The following is a 15,923-nucleotide window of genomic DNA, read 5'->3' on the forward strand; positions in this document are numbered from 1 at the left end:
ACCATGCCCGTCTGATTTTCGTGTGTGTGTGTGTGTGTGTGTGTGTGTGTGTGTGTGTGTATGTGTTTATTTTTGAGACAGAGTCTCGCTCTGTCGTCCAGACTGGAGTGCAGTGGTGCGATCTTGGCTCACTGCAACCTCTGCCTCCCGGGTTCAAGCGATTCTCCTGCCTCAGCCTCCCGAGTAGCTGGGACTATAGGCATGTGCCACCACACCCAGCTAATTTTTTGTATTTTTAGTAGAGTTGGGGTTTCACCGTGTCAGCCAGGCTGGTCTCGATCTCCTGACCTTGTGATCCTCCTGCCTCAGCCTCCCGAAGTACTGGGATTACAGGAATGAGCCACTGCGCCTGGCCTGATTTTTATATTTTTAGTAGAGATGGGTTTTCACCATGTTGGCCAAGCTGGTCTCGAACTCTGGACCTCGGGATCTGCCCACCTTGGCCTCCCAAAGTGCTGGGATTATAGGCGTGAGCTGCTGCACCTGGCTGAAATACGCATTTTATTTACCCATTCATCACATGATGGATATTTGAGTTGTCAGTTTTTGGCTATTATGAATAATGTTGCAGTGAATATCTGTATACGAGTTTTTGTATGGACATATTCATTTCTCTTGACTGTATGTCCAAAGGTAGAATTGCTATGTTATATGTTATTCTGTGTTTAACATTTTAAGGAACTGCCAGACTTTTCCAAAGTCGCTGTTTTACATTTGCACCAGCAATGCATGAGGGTTGCAGTTTCTCCTTACTGATGCCTCATTATCTTCTTTTAAAAAGCTGGACACCATTGATCGGATCATTATCTTTTTGATTATAGCAGTAGTAGTGGGCCTTGACCTCCAGGGCTCAAGCAGTCCTCTCACCTCAGCCTCCCAAGTAGCTGGGACCACAGGCGTGTGCCATCACACCTGACTAACTTTTTCTATTTTTGGTAGAGATGGGTTTTCGCCATGTTACCCAGGCTCGTCTTGAACTCCTGAGCTCAGGCAAACTGCCCGCCTCAGCCTCCCAACATGCTGGGATTACAGGTGAGAGCCGCCATGCCAGGCCCCTTAATCTCAGAAAGTAGTTTAGCAGTGTATTTAATTTAATTTAATTTAATTACTTAATTTTTTTTTTTTTTTTGAGACAGAGCCTTGTTCTGTCGCGAGGCTGGAGTGCAGTGGCGCAATCTTGGCTGACTGCAACCTCTGCCTCCTGGGTTCACACGATTCCCCTGCCTCAGCCTCCCGAGTAGCTGGGATTACAGGCGTGCACCATCACGTCTGGCTAATTTTTTGAATTTTAGTAGAAATGGGGTTTCACCATGTTGGCCAGGCTGTTCTTGAACTCCTGACCTCAGGTGATCCTCCCGCCTCAGCCTCCAAAAATGCTATTACAGGTGTGAGCCACGTGAGCCACCGTGCCTGGCCTTATTTTATTTTTTGAGACAGAGTCTCCTCTGTCACCCAGGCTGCAGTGCAGTGGTGCACTCTCCTCACTGCAACCTCCGCCTCCTGGATTCAAGTGATTCTTGTGCCTCAACCTCCTGAGTAGCTGGGACTACAGGCATGTGCTACGGTACGCCTGGCTAATTTTTTATATTTTTAGTAGAGATGGGGTTTGCTGTGTTGGCCAGGCTGGTCTTGAACTCCTGGCCCCAGGTGATCCGCCCACCTCGACCTCCCAAAGTGCTGGCATTACAGGTGTGAGCTACCACATCTGGGCCTTACAGTGTATTTTAAAACTCTTCATTTTCCTTCCTTTCCCACCAGGCACTTCTGTGCACAGTACTCACTTATCTAATTGTGCGCTTGCTTAGAAATTCCAGGGCAATTTTTTGTTGTTTGTTTGTTTGAGACAAAGTCTTGCTCTGTCACCCAGGTTGGAGTGCAGTGGGGTGATCTCAGCTCACTGTAGCCTCTACCTCCTGAGTTCAAGCGATTTTTCCAGGGGCTAATTTTAAAACAAATCAGGCATAGAGATTCAGCTGTGGAATCCTCCTGCTTAGGAGGAGTTACAGATAGTCTACCCCCACCAGGCTAAAGTCAAGATGATGCCAGCTGTACCACCGGCTTACTCAAGATAGCCATTGAAACAAGGCATGCAGACTAGGCACAGTGGCTCACACCTGTATTCCCAGCACTTTGGGAGGCTGAGGTAGGCGAATTACTTGAGGCCAGGAGTTTGAGACCAGCCTGGTCATCATGGTGAAACCCAGCTCTATTAAAAATATAAAAGTTAGCCAGGCTTGGTGGTGCCCGCCTATAATCCCAGCTACTTAGGAGGCTGAGGCACAAGAATCGCTTGAGCCCAGGAGGCAGAAGTTGCAGTGAGCTGAGATTGTATCACTGCACTCCAGCCTGGGTGACAGAGCAAGACTCACATACATACATACATACATACATACATACATACATACGGCATGCAGACCTGTACCCTGCTGCACCACTCCCGTATGTTTTTTATACCAAGTTTTTCTTCTTAAACCCCTTCACTCAGCCCGAAAAAACTGAAATGGTTCCTTTGAGGCTTGAGCTGGGCTATTTTCCCATTTACTAACACTTAAGTAAAAGCTGCTTTCCTTTTACCACACCGTACTTTGACTGCTGAGTGGCAAACGGCCAAACTTGATTTGGGTACTTTATTTATCCTGGTGTGGTACCTCTGCTCTTTGAGCAAGCTGTTGTGGACGTGATAGAGGCTCACTATTCTTTGCCTGCTGCCCTGTGGTAGAGCTTCTGCCGCAGGAGTGGTGCCTGGATGGAAGAAGAGAGCCCTAGACCTCTAGCTGTGTTTGCCTGGTACAGAATTTCTGCAGCATATAGCTGGGGTGTATGAGAAATACTGGCTGGCTGGCTACCCATTCTGGGGAGAAACCGTAGCCCTTGGCTGGGAGTTAGGGTGAGAGAGAGCCCTGTGTTCTTGGCTGTTATGTCCCTGGAGTAGAGCTTCCTCACATTGTGGGGTAGGGCTGGGTTTGTGGCTCAAAAGCCACAGATTCTTACTGTTCCTTCCAAGATTTAGTAATATTTGTCACATAGATGTTTCTGTATTTGCTGTATGCGGTTAAGACATTTTCCAGAGACTTTGAGCTTTTTATAATTTTCACCAGTTAGGGTTGTATCCCTGAGGAGAGGGTCTGTGGAGCTACTTATGTCATCATTCCAGAAATATTCTTTCTCTTCTAATTCTTTTAAACTGGAAGTTAGGCCCAGTCTTGATTAGATTAATGTTGACCGTTTTTGATGTTTCAGAGGCGAGGCTGTGGGCTGCGTATTTCATCATATCAGGAGGCACTTAAGGTCAAGTTGTGTTGTTGTTGTTGATAACTGAATTTACTCTGTTGGTTAAGCTGGCGACTGACGATGGATTTCTTTATTTTAAAGATTTGTTTCTTCATTACAATTAGCAAGTAATCTGTGGAGTGATACTTGGACACATTGGGAACATTCTGTTCCCCAACAACTGTTCTTTCATTTAATGGTTTTAGCATGGGTTATTTACCCATGCCTGAATAAATTATTTCACTGTGGGAACCTTTTTATTTTGGAACACTCTTCTTCGGTTTTTACTCTAATTTTGGCACCTTTTTGTTTTTTGTTTTTTTTTTAAAGTCAATCTACTTAAAGTGTTGGCATTTAGTAGACTTGCTGGGGTTATTGTATGTGTGAAATGCCCTAAAACTAATGACAAACACAGATAATACAAATATTCTGAAGAACATTGTTATGTATGGCTGAAACTGAAGTCACTGCAGGTCTGATAAATCTGTTAGTAGCAGGTAAAGATGCTGAGTTTTCTTTTGTTTACTTGTTTCTTTTAAGGAGAATTTTTGTTTCCAACTGTAGGCACGTTCGTATATTGGTTCTGTGTGGGAGATATACTCTGGGCGCCAACTGGTATGGTAGAAACGTACTTTTCACAATTTGTTTTAACAATAAGAGTAGCTTCCTCTGCCTCTCACCCCAGTAGCCCACAGATTTTGGGTAGACAACAGAGACTCTTCTGATTCTTATCCTAACAACTACTGCAGTGTCTGGCACAAAATAGGTGCCCCAAAAATGTATGAACTGAGCTCTTCCCCGCCAGACTGGATGGGCTTCTTAGGAGCAAGGATCAAAGCAAGGGGAGGACCTGGATGGGGCAGATACTGGAAGGAGGCAGGGATGGGAAACTCTAGCAGATTCCACTAGAACAGGAAAAATGGTGAGGGTAAGGATTGCTTTGCTGTGTGCATTTATGTTCTCTGCACAATCTTTGCTCTAGGGGAAAATTGCTTTGAGGGTTGGCAGTAGTCAGTGATTTTTTTAGGAATAGCCCAAAGCAAGGCTGTGACTTTTATCTTTATTTCTTTGGTGGAGGGGGTGGGATGAGGATGAGTTCTGGTAGAGCTTTTTTCCTTTCATATGTTGATAGCAATATATTTATGTTCTTCCTATCCTGCGTCTATTTTTATACCTATATGAAAAGCCTAGACACCTTATTTTGCCCCATTTGTTCCTGCCCTTTTCTCCAACTTCATTTTCCGCCACTTTCCCCTTTTCTCACTAAGTGTCAGTCATGTTGGCCTTCTTCAGTTTGTTTCTAATCGCAAGGCCTTTTTTCTAGTTGTTTTCCCCGTCTGAAGCTCTGCCTTCTGATCCTTGCATGGGTTTCTCTTGTCATTCACGTCTCTCATAAATGTCACTTCTCAGAAGCCTTCACTGAATACCCAGTCTAAAGTGACACACTCAGTTGCAGTCAGTCTTTTTTTTTGTTTGTTTGTTTTGAGACAGGGTTTCTCTGTTGCCCAGGCTGGAGTGCAGTGGCGTGATCACAGCTCACTGTATCCTGGACCTCCCTGGGCTCAGGTGATCCTCCCACCTTAGCCTCCTTAGTAGCTGGGACTACAAGTGCACACCACACCTGGGTAATTTTTGTATTTTCTGTAGAGACGGGATTTTGCTCTGTTGCCCAGGTGGGTCTTGAAGTCCTGGGCTCAGGCGATCTGTCTGCCTCAGCCTCCCAAAGTGCTGGGATTAACAGGTGTGAGCCACCACACCTGGCCATGAGATGTGCTTTAAGTGTAAAATATACACAGGATTTTGAAGATTTAGTATTAAAAGTAAAATATCTCAGTATATTTAAAAAATATTGGTTACATGTTGCAATGATAACATTTTGGATGTATTGAGTCAAATACACTATTAGGCCTGGTGCAGTGGCTTACACCTGTAATGCCAGAACTTCAGGAGGCCGAGGCAGGCGGATCATTTGAGGTCAGGAGTTTGAGACCATCCTGGCCAATATGGTGAAACCCAGTCTCTACTAAAAATACAAAAATTAGCTGGGCGTGGTGGCTCGCGCCTGTAGTCGCAGCTACTTGGGAGGCTAAGGCAGGAGAATCACTTGAACCCGGGAGGCAGAGGTTGCCATGAGCTGAGATTGCACCACTGCACTGTAGCCTAGGCAACAGAGTGAGACGCTGTCTCAAAAAAAAAATATATATGTATATGTGTATATATATATGTATATATATGTATATATATGTGTATATATGTATATATGTATATATATGTATATATGTATATATGTATATATATGTATATATGTATATATGTATATATATGTATATATATGTATATATGTATATATATGTATATATATGTATATATATGTGTATATATATATATATCAGAGCAGCTGTAGTAAAATATATATATTAGGATTAATTTTTACATACTTCTTTTTACTACTTAACGTGGCTGCTAGAAAATGTAAAATTAGGCCAGATGCCATGGCTCATGCCTGTAATCCCAGCACTTGGGGAGGGATTGCTTGAGCCTAGAAGTTTGAGACCAGCCTGGGCAACAAAGCGAGACCTTGTCTCTACAAAAAATAAAAAATAAAAAAAAATTAGCTGGGCCCGGTGGTGCATGTCTGTGTTCCCAGCTACTTAGGAGGCTGAGGTGGAAAGATCACTTGAGATCGCGGCTGCCGTGAGCAGTGATCACGTCACTGTGTTACAGCCTGGGTGACAGAAATTTAAAATCTTAATCTGGGCTGCGCATGGTGGCTCGCGCCTGTAATCCCAGCACTTTGGGTGGCCAAGGACCTGGCAGGCAGAGGTTGCAGTGAGCCGAGATCGTGCCACTGCACTCCAGCCTGGGCAACAGAGCAAGACTCTGTCTCAAAAAAAAAAAAATCTCAATCTGGCCGGGCATGGTGGCTCATGCCTGTAATCCCAGCACTTTGGGAGGCTGAGGCAGGCGGATCACCTGGGGTCAGGAGTTTGAGACCAGCCTGGCCAACGTGGTGAAACCCCGTCTCTACTAAAAATACAAAAATTAGCTGGGCTTGGTGGTGTGCGCCTGTAATCCCAAATACTGGGGAGGCTGAGGCAGGAGAATCGCTTGAACCCGGGAGGTGGAGTGAGTTGAGATTGTGCTGTTGCACTCGAGCCTGGGTGACAGAGTGAGACTCTGTCTCAAAAAATAAATCAAAATCAAATCAAATCTTAATCCAACTCTATCAGTAACTTGGTATTTTTCAGATTCTAGTTATTAGGCCCTTTTTAAGATGGTACAATGAAATTTTTGTGTTTTTGATTAGCCCTGCTTTACTTACATAGGTTTTGAAATGGTTGATTTTCCCTAAAAGGTAATCTAGGTCAGATTTCTTGTTGAATCAACATTTGGAATCTTGCCATTTCACTGCAATTTAATTGTAATTATTTTAACAAAGGAATTCATTTGCTTTGGCTATATTCTTTATAGGCTAATAACTTTCAGACTTTTACTGTCTGGAACATTCTTCGGTCACAGAGATAGCCACTGTCACTAAGCTGTATCAATACAGTACAACGCTATTCCCTGTCACCCCTGCACTGAGAACTTCGACTTATTTTCTGTCAATATTTTTAGCTTTCAATTTTAATCCTTATATTTTGTACGTGTATATTGTGAATAACTATACATACTTGCTAAGTATAGAATTGTATATACAATTTTGGGGGTGATTAGAAACAGAATCCCGGAGAATTCAACAAAATCAAGAAATTGTGTGTTTGTTGAATGGCTTCAGCTACATGGTATAGGATTAGATGACCCAGCCCTTAAGATCCTTTCTGACTTAGGTTTTAGATTTTTGTTTAATAGGTCAGTTTGGCTTTTTTCCCCATAGCATTTCATTTTGTATGTTTCTTAAAATGATTTGGAGATGCACCATTGGTGGCACGTAAGATGATGTTGGAGAGTACTTTACTAACAAGTCAAAGCAATTCTTTTGCAGTTTTCTTTTCTTCCTTCTGATTTTGTCAAGGATAAAGTTAGGTGTTACTTACTGTATGGTTTAATACTTTTATAACACTTATTAATCTCCTTTTTAAAACGAAGACAGAAGACATTATGCTTAGTCTTGGGCACGTAATGGTACTTACTCAGAATTTAGAAACTTTGAAGTTTGTGTGTGTATCTCCCCTCCCTCAATTTATTATCTTCTATTTATGGAACAATGAAAGAGAGTTTCCTTTAGGAATAAATTGATTTAAGCAAAAATAATTTGATTATGAATTTTAAGGATGAGTATGGGGTATACTTAGAAAAGATAGAAAGGCAGAACATGAAGGATTAGATGAATGGGAGTAATTCAGAACATGAAAGCTTTTTGTCTCCATTTATTTTACTGTTAATTTTTTATTACTTGTAATACATATTCAAGTATGTTAACTTATCATTGCCAGGTTTCCATGGATCTCAATAGTGCCAGCACTGTTGTTCTTCAGGTGTTAACACAGGCCACCAGTCAGGATACTGCTGTGTTAAAACCAGCTGAGGAGCAGTTGAAGCAGTGGGAGACACAGCCAGGTTTCTATTCAGTGTTGCTGGTAAGTTGTTCTAAAATTGTTTGCTTTTCTTTTTAATAAAATGAGACAACATTAATTTGTTTTAAAACCCTAGTTTTATTGGTAGTTTAGTGAAATAGATTCAGATGTTTGGCTGCTGATGCCTTTGCCATTATCTTATTACTTTATGACTTCTTAAGGGTGTTAAATAAATATTTATTGATAAATATAAAAATAAGCTAGGTATATGTAGCATCTGCTCAGAAGGCAAAACTGTGATGATTTTCAGTTTTAGTACGTTAAAAGTGTCTACTATCAGGACTCTAGGTAGCACTCTTTCATATTTTGTCTTTATCCCTACCCCAGGTAATTTATGTTGTCATAGTTGTTCAGGTCTCCACATTGCAGCATCAATGTCAGGTGTACCGTGTATTTCACTTTAAAATGTTTTCTTTTCTCATCTAAAAATTTCATTCTCTTGACACAGCTGATGTTTTCTTGGATATAATGGGAAATGGTATAATTAATTAACAATATGTGCTTTAAATTAACCTTTATTGGAGTTCAAAGTTTTTGACTAATTAATCAAAATTATTTTCTCAATGCCAGAATGAAAGAAGTCTTTTTGTGTTGAACACTTTCCTTATACTTTTCTTCTGAGAAATTGAGAACTCTGATTAGTGTTTGAGGTTTAGCTTCTGGTCAGGGCAACAAAGCTCCCCGTTGGGTTAAAAACTGACTCAGTATTTGTGACCAGGTCATAGAATCAGAGCAAAATTGTTTATTATATCTTGCAAAATAAAATAAATGATAGCAGTTGTCATATATATTTTAACTTGTTGGCTAAAAAAGTTTGAGTTGTTTGTTAAATTGAAGAAGATATTGTTCATGACAGTAAGGGAAATTGTTTAAAGTCAGACTTGTTATCCTGAATATAACAAAAAAGATGGCTGTTTGGCTCAGTAACAGAATCGTAAAAAAAAAAAGATTGATTTTAAAAGATACTAAAGAAAACATCTTATTCTTTATGTAATCTTAGCATCATGTTTGTAAATTTTAGGCATAGTATAAATCTTTAGAAAATCTCTTGAGTAGGGCCGGGTGCAGTGGCTCACTCCTGTAATCCCAGCACTTTGGGAGGCCAAGGCGGGTGGATCACCTGAGGTCAGGAGTTTGAGACCAGCCTGACTGACATGCTGAAACCCCATCTCTACTGAAAATACAAAATTAGCCAGGTGTGGTGGCGCACGCCTGTAGTCGCAGCTATTCATGAGGCTGAGGCAGGAGAATCGCTTGAACTCAGGAGGCGGAGGTTGCAGTGAGCTGAGATCGTGCCATTGTACTCCAGTCTGGGCAACAAGAACGAAACTCCATCTCAAAAAAAAAAGGGGGGGAGCAGCGGGGCCAGGTGTGGTGGCTTATGCCTGTCATCCCAGCACTTTGGGAGGCCAAGGCGGGCGAATCACGTGACCAGGAGATTGAGACCATCCTGACTAACACGGTGAAATCCCGTCTCTACTAAAAATACAAAAAATTAGCCAGGCATGGTGGCGGGCGCCTGTAGTCCCAGCTACTTGGGAGGCTGAAGCAGGAGAATGGTGTGAACCCAGGAAGCAGAGCTTGCAGTGAGTGGAGATTGCACCACTGCATTCCAACCTGGGCGACAGAGTAAGACTCCATCTCAAAAAAAAAAAAAAAAAAATCTCTTGAGTATCTTTACTCTCCTTACGCTTATTTAAATGAATATGCTCTATAATTAGTCTTGTGCTTTTTCTGGCCAAAATATAAAACACTTTCAGAATTTCTTATTTTAATTACTGCTGGACCTTAAAAACCAATAGGCATTGCTTAACTGTTGTCTTTTTATGTATTAATAACTATACCTTATTAATAATACTAACTGCGTAGGTTTTTTTTTTTTTTTTTTTTTTTGAGACGTCTCGCTCTGTCGCACAGGCTGGAGTGCAGTGGGGTGATCTAGGCTCACTGCAAGCTCCGCCTCCCAGGTTCATGCCATTCTCGTGCCTCAGCCTCCTGAGTAGCTGGGACTACAGGTGCCCGCCACCACGCCTGGCTAATTTTTTTGTATTTTTAGTAGAGATGGGGTTTCACCGTGTTAGCCAGGATGGTCTCAATCTCTTGGCCTTGTGATCCGCCCGCCTTGGCCTCCCAAAGTGCTGGGATTACAGGCGTGAGCGACTGCGCCTGGCCCAGTCTTTTTTTTTTTTTTAAGTAGAGACAGGGTCTTGCTTTGTTGGCTGGTGTCAAACTCCTGGGCTCAAATGATCCTCCCACCTTGGCCTCCAAATGTCTTTATTTTTATTACCTGTAATTTTCTTCTTAGAGGGATATAACATTTCTTTTAGATGGAACAGATTATATTTACAGTAGATTAAAAAGCTGCTGTGTTTTAGTCTTCCTTTTTCCCCTATACTCGCTATCTAGGTACATTTGATCTTACCTAGCTGTCCATTCTAGTCAGGAGACTCCTGTATTTGTATACATGATCTCAGGCTTATGTTCTAGTCCTGTTTTTCAGAGTACTTATAGGACATTTCTACTTGGATTGACATCTGCAGCTTGACTTTTCTTATTTTTGTAAGTGTATTTGAGATAGACTGAGTGAGATCCACCAACTTCCACAATATTCCCACATTACTTCCATTCGTTCACTCATTTGCTCAATAGAAAGTTAGGAAGTTTCTGCTTTGCCAGGCACTGTGCTAGATTCTAGGCGTAAGACAAGACTCAATGTAGTATAGAAGGTGGACATGTAAAGTGTGAAGATCAAATGTGATTAATGTGGTAAAAGAAGTGCATGTTTTGTAATGGAGACCCAAAAGAGGGACTTGCACCCAGTTGCCAGTGGTTCGAAGGAATAAATGTGAGTTACACAACTATATTTGTAATCTTTTTTCTTTTTTTTTGTATTTAGACATGATTTTCTAAAATTGGCTGTATAGTGTACGTCCCCTTTTTTTTTTTTTTTTTTTATCTGAGGTGGAGTCTCGCTGTGTTGCCCAGGCTGGAGTGCAGTGGTGTGATCTCAGCTCACTGCAACTTCTGCCTCCTGGGTTCAAGCGATTCTCCTGCCTCCGCCTCCTGAGTAGCTGGGATTACAGGCGCCCCCCCACCATGCCTAGCTAATTTTTTGTATTTTTAGTAGAGACAGGGTTTCACCATGTTGGCCAGGCTGGTCTCTAACTCCTGACCTCAAATAATCTGCCCACCTCGGCCTCCCAAAGTGCTGGGATTACAGGCGTGAGCCACTGCGCCCAGCCTGCATTCCTTTTTAAAAAATACTTGGCTGATCACAGTGGCTCACCCCTGTAATCCTAGCACTTTGGGAGGCCAGGGCAGGTGGATCACCTGAGGTCAGGCGTTCAAGACCCACCTGGCCAACATGGTGAAAGCCCGTCTTTGCTAAAAACACAAAAATTAGCCGGGAGTGGTGGTGCATGCCTGTAATCCCAGCTATTCGGGAGGTTGAGGAAGGAGAATCGCTTGAACCCGGGAGGTGGAGGTTGCAGTGAGCCAAGATCGCGCCACTGCACTCCAGTCAGTGCAACGGGAGTGAGACTCCATCTCAAAAAAAAAAACTTACAAATGTTTTTCTATAGCAAAGGACATACTTCCACATCATTTTTGGCTTTGGGGTTTTCCTATACAAGGTTTAAGAGGTCACCTTTGGGAATTTGAGTTGTTTTTGGTCTGAGACATAGTATAATTATAGTCATTATTATTATTTGGATTAACATAATGCATACTTTTTTTGAGTAATGGTTAATGTTGAGTTGAGATTATTCACATCACATGTAGCTTTATCTCTCTTGTTTTTTGAGACAGAGTTTCACTCTTGTTGCCCAGGATGGAGTGCAATGGTGCGATCTCAGCTCACAACATCCTCTCCCCTCCCGGGTTCAAGTGATTCTCCTGCCTCAGCCTCCCAAGTAGCTGGGATTACAGGCATGCGCAACCATGCCTGGCTAATTTTGTATTTTTATAGAAACGGGATTTCTCCATGTTGGTCAGGCTGGTCTTGAACCTTTGACCTCAGGTGATTTGTCCCCCTCGGCCTCCCAAAGTGCTGGGATTACAGGCATGAGCCACTGTGCCTGGCCTTTTTTTTTTTTTTTTTTTTTTTTTTTTTTTTTTATGGGACAGAGTTTTGCTCTTGTTGCCCAGGCTGGAGTGCAGTGGTGCGATCTCTGCTCACTGCAACCTCCGCCTCCTGGGTTCAAGCAATTCTCCTGCCTCAGCCTACTAGCAGCTGGGATTATAGATGTGCACCACCACACCCAGCTAATTTTTTGTATTTTTAGTAGAGATGGGGTTTCATCATGTTGGCCAGGCTGGTCTCGAACTCCTGACCTCATGGTGGTCCACCTGCCTCGGCCTCCCAGAGTGCAGGGATTACAGGCATGAACCACCATGCCCGGCCGCTTTATATCTCTTAAAAATGTTCTGCTATCAAACTTTTTTTTTTTTTGAGACAGAGTCTCACTCTGTCACCAGGTTGGAGCACAGTGGCGCGATCTCGGCTTACTGCAACCTCCACCTTCCTGGTTGAAGCTATTCTCCTGCCTCAGCCTCCCGAGTAGCTGGTATTACAGGCATGCGCCACCATGCCCAGCTAATTTTTGTATTTTTAGTAGAGATGGGGTTTCACCATGTTGGCCAGGATAGTCTCGATCTCCTGACCTCGTGATTCGCCTGCCTCGACCTCCCAAAGTGCTGGGATTACAGGCGTGAGCTACCGCGCCCAGCTTTATCAAACTTATTTACAAGGATAATTGTTTTGATAAGGAGGGTACTATGAAATAGTTTTATTTCATAGCATGTATTAACCCCGGGGCCTTGACTCCTTAGAATCTTTGAATCTATGCTGTAGTGGGCCTACTTTTTCTAATTTGGAAGTTATATATTTTATTGAATATGTATGGGCTTATGGTATTCATTTGAAAAATAATTAGGTTTGCTTGTTTCTGAATTTAATTTTTTTACTAGGGGAATTTTCAAACACACCTTAAAGCAGAATAGTACAATGACTCTACATGTGTGTTACTCAGCTTTGAACAGTTAACATACAACTGAGCAGGTGTACTTCTTATATGAATTGTAGAACTATATATACTTCATAAATATCGATATGATATATGTAGTGATAGAATATAAACAAATTTAATTAAAAGATCTGTCCAGGCTGGGTGTGGTGGCTCATGCCTGTAATCCCAGCACTTTGGGAGGCCAAGGCGAATGGATCACCTGAGGTCAAGAGGTCGAGACCAGCCTGGCCAGCATGGTGAAACCCTGTCTCTACAAAAAAAAAATACAAAAAATTAGCTGGGCTTGGTGGCAGGCACCTGTAACCCCAGCTACTTGGGAGGCTGAGGCAGGAGAATCTCTTGAACCTGGGAGGCGGAGGTTGCAGTGAGCCGAAATCGTGTCATTGCACTCCAGCCTGGGCGACGAGAGTGAAACTGTCTCAAAAACAAAACAAAACAAAACAAAACAAAACAAAGATCTGTCCATACTTTATTGTGGGTACATTAATTATACTTTTTACTTATTCCATGCTAATTCTAATATTATGTTTTTTATTTATAGAATATTTTCACCAACCACACTTTGGATATAAATGTAAGGTGGCTTGCTGTACTGTATTTTAAACATGGAATTGATCGCTACTGGAGACGTGTAGCACCTCAGTAAGTTCCATCACTTCCCCTATTCCTTGAGTATAATCCTTCCCAAATTCAGGAAGGTGTAAGAATACTTGTTTATGTAAAAGGATGTGTTAGCGCTTACTTCTGCAGCACATATACTAAAATTGGAGCAATACAGAGACGATTAGCATGGTCTCTGTGCAAGGATGATGTGGAGATTTGTGAAGTGTTTGATATTTAAAAAAAATGCAAAAAAAGTGTTTACTACTGAATAAGTGTTCTATTTAGGTAATGACAAATCAACAGCTATATTATTGTTTTCTTCATGGTTTTCCATTTGAGTGTGTGTGTGTGTGTGTGTGTGTGTGTGTGTGTGTGTGCGTGTGTGCGTGTGCGTGTGATGTTGGCCCTCTGCTTGCAAGGATCATGCTGAGTCAGTCATGTTGAACAAAAGCCCTCTGTTTTAGTCGTACCCACTTAAAAGGCTGAGGCAGGAGGATTGCTTGAGCACAGGAGTTTGAGATCATCCTGGGCGACATGGAGAGACCCCATCTCAAGAAAAAAGAAAGAGAAATATAAGGTTAGGATTTGGAAGAAAAAAAAAGCCATTCAGAAGGAAATCCCAGGTCAACTCTGAACCAGCTAGGTGTTAATTTCTGAGTCTTATGCATTCTTTCTCTATGGTGGGAATGGAGTAGTATACATTTGTAATCACATTAGTATTCAGTTATAACTGCTATGTACGTGGTTAACAGATTTAGTAGTTAATTTTACATGTTATATAATCAATGCAAAATCATTGTAGACATGACCCTGGGATTTGTTTGATAGAAAATATGGTAGTGAATTTTGCTTAAGAAGTAACATAATCTGTGTTTTCCAGTAGATGGCACTATAGCTCTCTAAATTCTTAAAAGCCGTAAGACCTTTTTTCTCAGTCTGAATACTTCAAAATGCATATAAAACATGTCCTTGAATAATATTGGAAACAACAAGAATATTTTCAGGCTGCACTTGGGATACTATATTACGGTTTAAAGCAGACATGTCTTTTTCTTTTTTTTTTTTTTTTGAGACGGAGTCTCGCTCTGTTGCCCAGGCTGGAGTGCAATGGCATGATCTCGGCCTACTGCAAGCTCTGCCTCACGGGTTCAGGCCATTCTGCCTCAGCCTCCCGAGTAGCTGGGACTACAGGTGCTTGCCATCTTGCCCCGCTGATTTTTTGTGTTTTTAGTAGAGCCAGGGTTTCACTGTGTTAGCCAGGATGGTCTCGATCTCCTGACCTGGTGATCCGCCCGCCTTGGCCTCCCAAAGTGCTGGGATTGCAGGTGTGAGCCACTGTGCCCGGCCGGAGTAATTTTTTACATAGGATTAATTCATAATTTTGGAGAGAAATATGGTAAGTAGTGATGAGAAAATGTGCATTATTTGTTTATAGGCAATGGCCCAGCAGCACTTTTCTACTGCTTTGTCCAATTGAATTTTACGTGTCTGCTAAAATTCATTTTGTTTTAGTGGTTATATAAAGGATACAATTATAAATGCTTGTCTTGGCTGGGCACGGTGGCTCACACCTGTAATCCCAGCACTTTGGGAGGTCGAGGATCACCTGGGGTCAGGAGTTCGAGACCAGCCTGCCCAACATGGCGAAACCCCACCTCTTCTAAAAATACAAAAATTAGCCAGGTGTGGTGGCGGATGCCTGTAATCCCAGTTGCTGGGGAGGGTGACACAGGAGAATCACTTGAACCTGGGAGGTAGAGGTTGCCGTGAGCCAAGAACGTGCCACTGCACTCCAGCCTGGGCGACACAGTGAGACTATGTCTCAAAAGAGAGAGAGAGAGACATATATATATGTATATATATATAAACATACATATAAATATATATATAAATGATTGTTTTGAAGGGAAAGTAAATTATTAAATATTTCATGTTGTACTTTTACATAATGAATTAGAACCTAGAATTTAGCTTAAATTTAAAAAGTTATGAGATAATTTATACAATATTAGGTAGTTAAATCCCAAGCTGTCTCTTTTAGTATATATTGAAATAAAAGCTGGAAAGGAGAGGATGCTGGAGCACGAGTGGCAGTTTAGTAATTGAACTTATAAACTTAAGACTTTTTAAAAAGATGCTTGTTTCTGTACTTATCAGTTTCATTTTATATAGATCCTACTCTTAACCATTTTCACAGAATGAGAATTAACTAACAAGCTTGTTACCATTACCATATACATTGCAGTGTATCTGGGTCCTAATTAATTAAATACTGTCCAATTTCTGCTTGACATATAGTTTGAATTCATCTAATGATAACATGCATAAAATTAAAGGTGGAATGTTAATTATTATTAGAGAATTGTTAAAGATGTGAATTTTCTTCAGGTTAATGGCTTGTTTCTTTAATATGTATACAATCCCTGACTTATGGTTGTTTGATTTG

At 41.7% G+C, this 15,923-nt stretch overlaps 1 protein-coding gene and 1 pseudogene across 2 annotated transcripts in view; both read left to right on the forward strand.

The window, feature by feature from the left end:
• IPO11 (importin 11) overlaps nt 1-15,923 on the forward strand; it is a 215,820-nt gene that overhangs the window by 16,805 nt on the left and 183,092 nt on the right. For both annotated transcript variants that reach the window (NM_016338.5, NM_001134779.2), the window contains exons 2-3: nt 7,707-7,850; nt 13,416-13,516. In NM_016338.5, the coding sequence (NP_057422.3) occupies nt 7,713-7,850; nt 13,416-13,516 (239 nt within the window). In that variant the 5' untranslated portion in view covers nt 7,707-7,712. The remainder of the gene's footprint in view (nt 1-7,706; nt 7,851-13,415; nt 13,517-15,923) is intronic.
• RNU6-661P (RNA, U6 small nuclear 661, pseudogene) lies at nt 13,609-13,715 on the forward strand (annotated as a pseudogene).

This window comes from Homo sapiens, chromosome 5 (assembly GCF_000001405.40).
Source record: "Homo sapiens chromosome 5, GRCh38.p14 Primary Assembly".
NCBI lineage: Eukaryota > Metazoa > Chordata > Mammalia > Primates > Hominidae > Homo > Homo sapiens.